Source organism: Homo sapiens, chromosome 2, assembly GCF_000001405.40.
Source record: "Homo sapiens chromosome 2, GRCh38.p14 Primary Assembly".
NCBI classification, from domain to species: Eukaryota; Metazoa; Chordata; class Mammalia; order Primates; family Hominidae; genus Homo; species Homo sapiens.
Window position 1 is genome coordinate 84,411,991 of NC_000002.12, and position 12,678 is coordinate 84,424,668.

At 40.2% G+C, this 12,678-nt stretch overlaps 1 protein-coding gene across 1 annotated transcript in view; it reads right to left on the bottom strand.

Moving 5' to 3' along the window:
• The window catches only part of SUCLG1 (succinate-CoA ligase GDP/ADP-forming subunit alpha), a 35,753-nt gene continuing 34,612 nt past the window's right edge, over positions 11,538-12,678 (bottom strand). Inside the window, exon 9 of the mRNA NM_003849.4 lies at positions 11,538-11,782. Within this exon, the coding sequence (NP_003840.2) occupies positions 11,756-11,782 (27 nt within the window). The 3' untranslated portion in view covers positions 11,538-11,755. The remainder of the gene's footprint in view (positions 11,783-12,678) is intronic.

Sequence of the window (12,678 nt, forward strand, 5' to 3'; positions counted from 1 at the left end):
ATGGAACAGAATAGGAGCCCAGAAATTTATCCTCTCATATACAGTCAACTAATCCTGAAAGTCTTCAGAAGTACACAATAGGGAAAGAATAGTGTCTTCAATAAATGATGTTAGGAAATCTGGATAGCCACATGCAAAAGAATGAAATTGGACCCTTATATTACATCAAAATGCATTAAAGTTTCTTTTAGGAGTTTTACAGTTGCCCCTAAAGGAAAATGGGAAAACTCCTTCACATTGGTCTTGGCAATGATTATTTAGACATGACACTAAAAGCATACAGAAGCAAAAATAAACAAGTGGGACTACACCAAACTAAAAAGTTTCTGCACAGCAAAGAAAACAATGAAAATGAAAGGGCAACCTACAAAATGGGAGAAAGCATTTTCAAACCGTGTGTATGACAAAGGTTTGATTAAAATCCAAAATATATAAGGTACTCACACAATTCAATAGCAAAAATCAAATAGCCCAATTAAAAAATGGGAAAAAACCTGAATAGACAATTTTTCAAACAAGACATACAAGTAGCCAACAGGTATATGGAAAGGTGCTCAACATCACTCTACAGCATGGTGACTACAGTTAGTAACACTGTGCTGTTTACTTAAAATTTGATGACAGCATATTTTAAGTGTCTTCACACCACACTCACACACACACACACACATACACACACACAGTAACTATGGGTAGTGATGAATGTGTTAATGAAATATTTTTTTTACAGGAATGCAAGGTGGGGAATGCAGAATCGCCAGGGCCCCTCACAGAGTCTTGGAAGGGCAAGGGCAATAAGAAGCCTTGAGGGTTAAGCTTGAGTGGCTTCATGGTAAGCCTGCCTAGATACCTCTATTTGCATCCTGCTCCTATTGCCTTGAGTTGGGTGAATGCTTCCCAATGGAACTGCCTAATTAAGACCTAACACTCCCTTCTAACCACACTCATTCCCATTTGGGCCAGCATCCAGAAGAAAGCAATAGTGTAGGCAGTCAGGACTCATTTGGTCTTTAACAAATGTACATGTATTTATTAGATTAAATCTTAAAGTATCATCTTCATTGACTATTATAAAGCACTTAGCAGTCTATGGGCATGACCCAAGGAGTATTTCACATCTACTGTGTACCAGATTCTGAGGCTACAGCTATGAATTAGATAGACACACTTGTTGGTCTCAGAAATTGAGCATTTTTCATCTGTCTTAGCAATTTTTGATAAAGAGAAAGCTGAGATTGTGACATCCTATAAAAGCAGGACAATCTCCAAGACTTTCATAGAAAGACTGGCTTGTGAGAGAAATGGGTGCACTTGACCCCTAGGATTCTGCTGCTTGCTGCATCTTTGCAAATTGTGTGTGTGTGTTCATATACACATATATATTATGTACAATAAACAACCATTCCTCTGTGTAAGACAGTTTAGGTGGAGTTAGCAATTAGTTAAGTTTGATTTTATAAGTGGAAATAGAGCCTGGATTAGGAAGTAAAGGGCAGAATTTCTGTAGGTGGGGTTGTGGTCATGTGGTAATGGTCTTTTTCAGCAAAGAAGGCTAGGAGCAGGATTTGGCTATGGCTGGCTGAAAGCTGGATTCCTGTGAGCTGATTCTGAGTAACCAACTGCCCTAAAGTAACTCAGGTGACTAATGACTGTGAGAGAGAAATGGGTCAGCTCTCATTTTTTAAAAAATGCTTTTAGAGGGAGATATATCCTCAATTATTATCATTTATCTACTTACTGCATAAAAGTAAAGTGTAGGTTAATACGAGTTCAGGTTGAAGGTCCAACGTATTGACTTTGAATGCCCCTGCAATGAGGGCAAGTTGAAGAGTTTATAAGTTTAAATACCTTGGACACAGAATATGAATCATTTAAAATCTACTGTTTTCTCCCTTTCCTCTTCTCCTACTGTATAGTAGTATCTCAAATGGCATCTGTTCAATGACCTCCAAATAGTGCCTGGACCAGAATGATATATAGTAGTTTCTCCCAGAGTAATCCTAATCATCATTGTCTCAACTGGCTGAAGTACATTCAACGCACCCAAAATTCCTGTTGCTTCCTTCCAGTATGAATTAACTTTATAGTGCCTAATTACCTGGTGCAAGGTAAATGCCTTTAATAAAATGCTCTGGCATGATCTGTCTTTGAGATTACTCTGACAGATTTTGGTATACGACTCTAGGTGACCGGGGCTCTGTATCCTTACATGTCACCTCCTATTTTTAGATAAAACAGAAATATAAGGTAATTTGGAATATATTAGGGGCATAAAGAATCTAGAAAACCACACCTTAGAGACTTCATCAAAATGAAGAATGCAAAAGAAAGTGATTTTGCTGGAGTTTGGCTTTTTATTTCTTAACTTTGTGCATAAAACATTCCTTTGAGCCTGCAGAGTTGGGTCTAAAAAGTACCATTTATTCTTTAATATTTATTGAACACCACATAGGTATAGGGCATGACTCTGAGAGACACACAGAAACATAAAATGCAGGCTCTGCCCTTGAGAAACATAGTCTGCTTTGGAAGCACAAGACAGGTAGATGTAAGAAATATAAATTGCAGGCCCAGCTGAACACCAGGAGGAGCACAGATAATTTGGGTCACAGGAATTCAAACACCAATCATAGTCCCTAAGAGCTTTTGGGTGGACATTGGGGTTGGAAAATATTGATGGAAAGGAAGGGGGGTATTTGGGTTAAAGTATAGACTTATAAGAAGATGGATTTTAAGCAGTTGAGGTGGTCAAGGGAAGGACAAAACATACATGGTTTGTGTTAGGGTTTGGCCAACAATATAACACCAGGCTTGGATGATATTTGAGGATGACTCTCCTGTGGGTACCTCCTTCACTTCATCCCATCACTGGAAACCTGTCACCAGCAGATGCCTGGTTGGAGGAGACATACTCTTCTCTGAGCCACTGCTTAACCTTCCCCAGCTGCTAGGAATTGCCAGAAACAAACCAGATAGTATTGCAGAGGCCTTCCCTACCCTGTTTTGAAATTAAAGTTCTCAAATATTGAAACGTCATTAATTCAGCCATTATGAAGATGCCTTACTTTCCATAATATCAGAATACTAATGATCTAAAAAGTTATTAAAAGGTAGAACTCCTTTATTTGAATAAAAGTTATGGGTGGCAGGAAGGGAGAGCATCAGGAAGAATAGCTAATGGATTCCGGGCTTAATACCTAGGTAATGGGTTGATCTGTGCAGCAAACCACCATGGCATAGGTTTGTTACCTATGTAACAAACCTGCACATCCTGTACATGTACCATAGAAATTCAGATAAAAGTTGAAGGAAAAAAGATTCAAAACAAAATAAACGAAAATAAAAACTAAAAGAAAAAGAAAAAGAAAAAGAAAACCCAATCAGAGACCAGCCTAGGACCAAAAAACTTACAACCGCACAATTACCATCAGGACTCTGGGAAACTATACAGTGTGAGTCCTGGACTCTCCAGGGACGCTGCATTGGTCCAGCCTCCTGACCTCTCCCCTCTCAGGTCCCAGGCCCTTCACATCCTGGGCTCCAGGGTGCTCATCTGCAGCTGCAACCCTCACTTCCTGAACAGTCCTAAAGCTATCTTTACTTGTCTCATGGGTCACTCAAGAAACCTAATACCATGGTATACTTCCCTGCAAATGCCCTTTTATCTTCTGAGAGCACAGCAAATATTAACATTTTTTTTTTCCTGGAGAATACCCCTTAGTATAGGGTGTAATGCCAAATTCCACCAAGAACTTCCATGGAGGCATCAGGTATTGTCCCAAATGTGCCCCACACTAACCTCCCACAGTATCTAACATCTAGTTTCTCCCCAAATTCCCCCAAAAATGGACCTGCTGCTACACTGGCCATGATGTTGGCCAAGTGTGAGAGTCAGGGTAGATGACTTGCAATTGGGATTTTTCCAGTCAGCCCTCTGGATCCATTTTCCACCCTTCTCTGCCCTGCCATGTACCCCCAGAAGACGGCTCTTTGCATGGCATGATCGGCACTTGCCCTCTCTCTGCCTTCCAGTTGAGTTCAGCCAATCCTCCTACTGACAGGAGCTGTGAGAGGTGTGAGGCATTTATTCCCTTCACCCCTCCATGTCTGGTTTGGCTTGGGTAGTGGTTGCTTTCCTCTACACAGGGCCACAGCTTTTGCCTGAGGCCTCTAATCAGCTTTAGGAATAGTTCCCACTCCTTGACAATTCAGGTCTAAAGACAGTAACGATGTCTCACTGTTGCTGACCCCAGGGAGCTTCACCTTTGGGTGTGCCATCGGATACCTACCAGGGACAATTCAGGGTGGTGAAAACTAAAGGGTCACCCAAGCCAAAATCCACTGAGGAAAGCCAACTTTCAACTACATGGGAGAATAGGTCCTAATGTCCATACCAAGAGTCAGACCAGGAATCAAAGTAGGAGATGCAAAGCCAGAAGGCCAGAACCTAGAAAAGATAGGACCAAACACACCCAGTCAGAAACAAGCAAAAGTGCTGCCAAAAGGATTGACAATGGGAAATTATCCTCAACTTTCTAGCAGCAGGTATAAATTGCCTGAATAATACAGACTAGCTTCAAGGATGAGGGACACAATGAATCCTGTAATTCCCATGTAAGATTTAGTTTTTCCTTCTCCAAGAGCTGAATATTATGATACACATGCCTCAGGGAAGAGCTTTAAGTCAAGGGATCTAACCCTAATGCCCAAGATGTGCAAGGGTATGCACTTCTGGGCAAAGAGTCCATAGCATTCATTGAATTTGAAAAGGGATCTGGGGACAAAAATGATAATCATTTCCAGTTAAACCTATTTTACCACTCAGCGTTATTTTTTCTTGGAAAATATCTCAGCTCCTGTCTACTATCTCAGCACCAACACTGTGTACCAGAAGGATGGTACACCTCAACTCTGCATAGACAGAAGGTCCTCCTGACCTTGCCTTTCTCTTTCATTTGGCTGTTCGAGTTGTATTCTTTATGATAAAACTGTAACCATCATAAGCATGGTGGCTTCAGAGAGCTCTGAATTATCCTAGCAAATTATTGAATCTTAAGGGGATTATGGGAAGCCCCAGATTCATAACCAAATAAGACAAAAGCATGGGTGGCAAAGGCACGACCAGTACTTTTGGCTGGTATTGGAAGTGGGAACAGCCTTGTGGGGCTGAGCGCCTTAACCCATGAAGTCTGTGTTAACTTCAGGTAGTTAGTGTCAGAATTGAATTGAACTGTAGAACACCTAATTGGTGTTGGAATGTAACACTGAACTGGAATCAGCCAGATTACAGGTTGGAGTCTGGGGAAACAGGACAAAAAGAGAGAGTCCTATTTTGTACTGTATTTTGTATTTTTGTCCCCCCAGGGGGACACCTGTAATTGTGATTGTTGAGTGTTAATGTGTTTAATTTTGAAGATCAGGATGTCTTGAAAAGCTGGGACATGCTGGGGCAAAGATGCAGTAAGTGCTAAAGGCTCTACCGAGGAAATAAAAGTGATTTTCAGAGTTGGCAATGGCTGGCACTGGAGCAGCGTGGAGATGCAGAGCTGTGGCAGGGGAGCTTGGGGAGGCTGAGACAGGAGAAGGCTTGCAACAGGAGCTGCAGGAGAAGAGTTCCTGGAAAGGATCTCTCTGTGGCCTTGGTATGACTCAAGAAAGGTATGACTGATACTCCCAGCTTGAGCACACCCTGCTGCTTCTCTTGACAAAACTCGACCACAAACTAAGCTTCTAGAATGGGTTGTGGAGAATTCAAGAAGGGGCTACATTCTGCGCTGGGGAAGTGTAGACCTAGGGAGATGGAAAATGTGTGAGATATTCAAAGCAGTAAAGCAGTAGCAATATAACACCAGACAAGAAGTGACCAAGAGAGCTTTAGACTACAGAAATCTATTAAAATATTGGTCTTGGACTTCATCCATGATGTGGATGTATCTGAAAGCCATTGCATGTGACTTTCACAGGACAGGGTGAAATCTGACACCCTCAGTGAAATAACTTGAAAAATCTGATTACATGTGAGAATGACATGCCTTGCCCTGTTCACTGCTACTCATTCCAGGGGAGTAGCAGTGCTGGCCAAGAAGAGGGGCTTTTCATTTCTGTTAAAAGATGCAGTAGAGTTCCAGCTTCTGGCAATGATGGAATAGTTTGATCCATCCTTAACCTTCCTGCAGATAGCAATTATTAAATCTGGACAAATTATTTATAAGACAACAATTACCTGAAAGCATTGTGGAGTGACCAAATCATGCAGGCAGTGAAGGAGATTACCTGTGCAGGGGGCACCACAATGGGTGAGATTTCTGAGTTTGTAGCTTTTCACTTAAAGGCCTTCTCCAATAAGCAGTAGGTAGTAAAAACCAAAAATTGGTACAAGGTCAAATAGGAAATCTGAAAGGCCCTTTATCTATCAAAGAAATTGAATTTATAATCAAAAGCTTTCACAAAGTAAATTTCAAGCTCAGATGGTTTTACTAGCGAATTCTATTAAATCTAAGGAAGAAACTATCAACCTTACACCAACTCTTTCAGAAAGCAGAAGAAAAAAGAACACTTCCCAAATTATTGTATAAAGCCAATAAAACCCTGATACCAAACTTGGCAAGGACGTGTATGAAATTTATTACAAGAAGATAAAGATCAATACCCCTCATGATCATGTTCATAAAAATTCTTAACAAACTATTAGCAAGTTGATCCATCAATGTACGACAAGGATAAGATCATGACCAAGTGGCAATTACAAACAGGAATGCAAGCTAACATTTAAAAATCAAACATTTAAATTGACCATATTAACAAAATAAAGTAAAAACTATACATGGTCATCTCAATAGACTCAGAAAAATCACTGGAAAAAATTCATCAGCCATTCATGATTTTAAAAGTAAACAAGGCTGTGCATAGTGGCTCATGCCTGTACTTTCGGAGGCCAAGGTAGGAGGATCACTTGAGCCAGGAGTTTGGGACTAGCCTGGGAAGCATAGTGAAACCCCTTCCCCATAAAAAAGAAAAAGAAAAGGAAACAACAACAAAAAAGCCCCACAACAACAACAAGGACATTTAGTTAACTTAGAATAAAGGGGGATTTACCTCACATGTTAAAGGACATCTATGAACATCTTTAAGCTAGCAGCTTCTAGCAATCTTCAAAACAGGCATGAAGATTGGAAAATAAGTAAAACTTACCCTATTCATAGATGACAAATTTCTATATAAAAAATACCCTAGGGAATCTAATTTTTAAAACTATTAGATCTAATAAATGCTATTAGCAAAGCTTTAGATTCAATGTAAAAATCAATGCATATTTGTGTATTTCTGCAGCAAAAAAGAACACGGAAAACTATTGTTAAATGAAAATTTTTCTCAAAATAATATACAGAATTCAACTCAATCACAATCATAATTCCATAGAAATTGATGAACTTATTCTAAAATTTATATTAAATTACAAAAGGCCTAATACAGTCCAGAAACAGACCCATATATACATGGTCAATGGACCTTTCTACTATAAATGAAAGCAGTTAATGGCCAAAGATCAGATTTTTCAACAGATATTGCCAGACCCACTTGAATATCCATAAAGAAAGAACTCAATCTTGACCTCTACTTCACTCAATAAACAAAAACTAATTCAAAGTTGATATAAGAATTAAATAATGAATAATATAGGTTTTACAAGAAAGCAGAATAGCGTCATGAACTTGGGGTAGAAAACCATTTCTTAGGAGGAGAAAGCAGTAAACAAAAAAGAAAAAAAAATGATCAGTTGCTCTTTATCAAAATTTAAAATCTTAGTTCACCAAAAGACACCAGTAAGAAAATGAATGGGGCAAGGCATAGATTGTGAGAAAATGTTCTTAAAATATAGATCTGAGAAAGGTCTTGTATTCAGAATATAGGAAGAATTGTTGGAACTTCAGTCCTAAAAAGACAAAGAAATAAAAGATAGGCAAAGGCACTTCTCAAGGAAAAAAATACCAAAGACCAAAAAGCACACTTGAAAGTGCTCAACTTTAGGCTGGACCTGATGGCTTAAATCCCAGCAACTTGGGAGGCTGAGGTGGAAGGGCAGCTTGAGGCCAGGAGTTTGAGGCCAGCCTGGGCAACACAGCAAGACCCCATCTCTAAAAAAAAAAAAAAAGCTCTCAGCCTCTCTGCGCAATTATTATTCAGGGAAATACTAATTTAAGCATGAGATATCACTGACATCCCCACTAGAATGAAATTAACAAGAACAAAAATACCAAATCTCAGAGAAGGTAGGGAAAAACAGACACTCATATTTTCTTGGGATAGAATATGAATAGTACAATCACTCTGGAAAAAAGACAGTTAAATGTACACATGCTATTACATCTAGCTATTCTATTCCTCCGTATGTCTAAGAAAAAAAATGTATGTTCACAAAAAGATTTACACACAAGGATCATAGCAGCTTTATTTACTAACAGCCAAAAGCTGGAAACAACAAAAAAGCCAACAACTGGAGAATGGAAAGACATAACGTGGAGTATCCGCACAATGGAATAGTACTCAGCAATAAAAAGGAATGAACTACTTACACAATGACATGGGTGAACATCACAGATATTATGCTGAGTGAAAGAAGCCAGATCTAAAAGACGACATACTATATGATTCCCTTCATATATATTTCTAAAACAGACAAAACTAATTTCAGGTGAAAAAGAATACAGGTAACCTATAGAGAGGATGCAATTAGGTAGGATATGATGGAACTTTCTGAGATAATGAAATGGTCTATATTACGAGGAAGATGTTGTTACATGGGTTCATCCATTTCTCTAATGTATATGGCTGAGATTTATGCATTTCAAAGTATGTAAAATTTACCTTAACAAAAGAACTCTTTTAACAACATCACTGCTATGGGACGTGGATTGGAGATTACTTACCGATCATACAATAATGGTAGAATGTTGATAATTTTCAAAGCTAGGTGATGGGTACATGGGAGTACATTATGCTATCACAATTCTTTTGTAAATGTCTTAAAGTTTGCATAACCAAAGTTTTTCAAATTTACTGGAGTTGTGAGTAGCCCTTTCACTTTTTTGTTAATAAAACTGAAATAGGAAACACCACAACCTAAAATTCCAACCACTGCTGTCTGAGCTCTCAGATCAGAGGTAGTGATGGTGTTGTAGGAGGGAAGAGAGGTGAGAGAGGTGGTTAGGAGAAGGTGGACTCACAGGATCCTAGGAGGAGTGGAGAGGGTGGGTGGGAAAAGGAAGATGAAAGGGAATGGGAAAATGGAGGTGGTGGTGGAAGAAGATGAAAGAGTCATGGGGACACTGAGCTCCCTGGTTTAGGCAACAGGAGCAGAGGAGTGAAAAGAGAGATGTAGTCTTGGGACACATGCTCAGAGGACAGGGCAGGGTGCTGAGGCAATCCCAGAGCAGTCCTGGGTCAGGGTGGACCCTGAAAAGGATACCTTCTGTTAGGGTCGTGCAGTGGACTGAATGTTTATGTCCCCCAAATTTGCGTGTTGAAACCCTAATCAGAATGTGATGGTATTGTGAGGTGGGGCTTTTAGGATGTAATTGTCATGAGGGTGGAGCCCTCCTGAATGGGATTAATGCCCTTATAAATGACCAGCAAGCTAGCTAGCTCTTTCCACCTTGTGAGGATACAACATTGCTGTCTGTAGACCAGGGTGAGACCCTTACCAAGAACCCAACCCTGCTGGACCTTGATAGTGGACTTCCCAGCCTCTGGAACTGTGAGAAATAAACGTTTAAGCCATCTGGTTTATGGTATTTTGTTATAGCAGTCTGAGCTAAGACAGGTCACCTACCTATCATCTGAGTTGTGTCCCTGTCACAAAACCCCATTGAGTTCAACTAAGACATTTTCCCTATAGGGTCCTTGGTTTAGAGGAAAGAGGAAATGCCTTCCTTCCTGGGCCAGTAGTGTCACCCTGGATGTCCTAAGCACAAGAGCAGAGTACACTCAAGTTTATGGAGAAATGCCAAGCCCTAGCCAAGCCTGCCCTGTGATGAGCACCCTCACACACCACATAACGTATACCCAGGTACCCTCTGGCATGGAAGCCATTATCCACATTTTCAAGCTGAGGAAACAAGCAGAAACTAAAGTCTACTTGATCTGAAAGTCAATCACCATGTGTCCCTTGGTCTGGGCAGAATTCCTTGGTCTGTGACACTTAACACCTGCTTTTTGTGTTCTCAGCAGCAGCCTGGGCATGGCCATGCGAGCTCCCAAAACACAGTTCCTCAGGCCCATCAAACCTCCCCAAACCCATCTCAAATCCCCCAGTATTCCTTCACCTCCTCAAAATGAGCCCTTCCCCCTCCCTGACTTTGCACAGGCTGTTCCCTTACCTGAGTGTTCACACTCCCTTTTTGCATGGCTGGTACCTTCTCAGTCCTCAGGTCCCAACTCACATCCCCTCCCCAGGGAGAATTCCCGTCTGCGTTTCTTCAGGGGCTTCTCCCTAATATTATTTTTTTTTTTTGAAGCTCTTACTTGTTTCCTTCAGGACAGTTACACTATCTGATAATATTTTGTTCCAGAATGTAAGTTCCTGATGACAGGCACCACCTCTGTCTTGTTTAGTGGGAATTACCCACTGGGATTACTTCTTGTTAAGAAGTTCTTTTAAACACAAAACAGGATGGCTAACAGCTTTCCAGTTTTCTTGCAGTGAAATGTCTTAAACCTCAAAGAATGTGGGCTCTGGATGGGCCCTCTGCAGAACCACAGAAAAGCATGGCATTGGTGAAGATTCTCCATTTCCCAATGAGGCAGAAACTGAAATATAAATGAGCTTCTGCCTCTAATCCTGATGATGATAATGATGATGGTGTGGTGGGGATGGTAGTGATGATAGAGGCACTGATGACAATTAAGTTGCCTTATTACATGCCAGGGACTTCACACATTATCTCCAACCCTTTGAACTACCCTGCATGATGGAGATATATACATACATTAGAAAACTATAATTCAAAAGATACCTGAAGTCATTCTATGTCTAAGATAGACAAATGTCACGTTGACACTGTTACAGCCTCATTCTCCCAGAGGTTTCGGTTACAATGTTCTCTAAAGAACCCATTAAAGGCCCAGCGCGGTGCCTCATGCCTGTAATCCCAGCACCTTGGGAGGCCGAGGCAGGTGGATCACAAGGTCAGGAGTTCAAGACCAGCCTGGCCAACTTGGTGAAACCCCGTCTCTACTAAAAATACAAAAAAAATATATTAGCCGGGTGTGGCGGCAGGTGCCTGTAATCCCGGCTACTCGGGAAGCTGAGGCAGAGAGAACTGTTTGAACCCCGGGAAGCGGAGGTTGCAGTGAGCCAAGATCACACTACTGCACTCCAGCCTGGGTGACAGAACAAGACTCTGTCTCCAAGAAAAACAAACAAACAAACAAACAAACAAAAAGAACATATTAAAACATACACACACATAAATACACCTCCATTTCTCCCACTCTCCTCATCCTTCACACTGGAACAATAATAAGCCTCCAAAACCATATTGAAATCAAATAGTAGATTTATTGGCTGTCTCTGTAATACAATGTGGTGAAAACATCTTAATTCAGGACATCTTCCACCTTGTTTTGGCTTCCAGTTGTACTGCAAGACCAGTGTCAGGCACATAGGCTGATTAATCAGTGGACAACAGAAGCAAACTGCTGCTGGGTTACATGTCTACGTGATCCATTCCACAGTTTTAGGAATTTTTTTTTTCTTTCATAGCATCTTCCTCTTTTCAAATTCCTTCAGAAACAGAAGAGAGAGAGAAGAGAGATGGAATGAATAAAGATAAAAGATCCAAATCACATTTAGGATCAAAATGATTTTGAAACCTATTATCTTTAGGATCCCCTGAACAATCAAATTACAGAAGAAAAATGTACCAGGATGAGGGTGTTTGAACACAGAATAACAGCTTTCAAAATCAGTCTGTGTCAGCCTGAATTTCACGAAACAGATGCAGAGCTTCAACTTTACATTTCCTAAATCCAGAAGCAGAGAGGGAGGTTTTGAATAATATTTATTTTTTCACAGCAGTATAATAACAATAATTTTGGGAGCTGAGAAACTTCATTATGCTTCTGTAGTGCTATATACATGAACCCTTCTAAGAAGGCAATGGAAACAGGTTTGCTCAGTTTCTCAGAGAATAAAGCTAAAGACAGATTGTTACAAGGATTTGAACAAAATGTCAAGAACCTTAGAAATACCTGAAACAAACAAATATCTTAAGCAAAGTAGTGTTTAAGGAAACAATACCAAAAATCATATTTTTCTAGATTGTAACAATTAGGATAAAATGTGTAGATCCCTGCTGCCACTTACTGGAAGAAAATGGTAACACACATCTCCAATGTGAATTTAAGCATTTGCTTTTCTCCTTACCCCACCTTCAAATAAAATTATTTCTCACTCTCACTAAGCACCTAGATTTCTTTCAAACACTTTGGCACATAGTGTTATATTCCAAGAGCAGGATCATGCAAAGATCAATAAAAAAAGGAGTCCACTTTATTTATCTCTAAGACAAGGGCAAAGAAGACCACCAAATCAGGATTTTGAAATTCTCTCTGAATGCTGTTCCCTTCTAGGAAACCAACTGGTACCTATTTTCAGCATGCTTAAGAGGAGATTTTTTG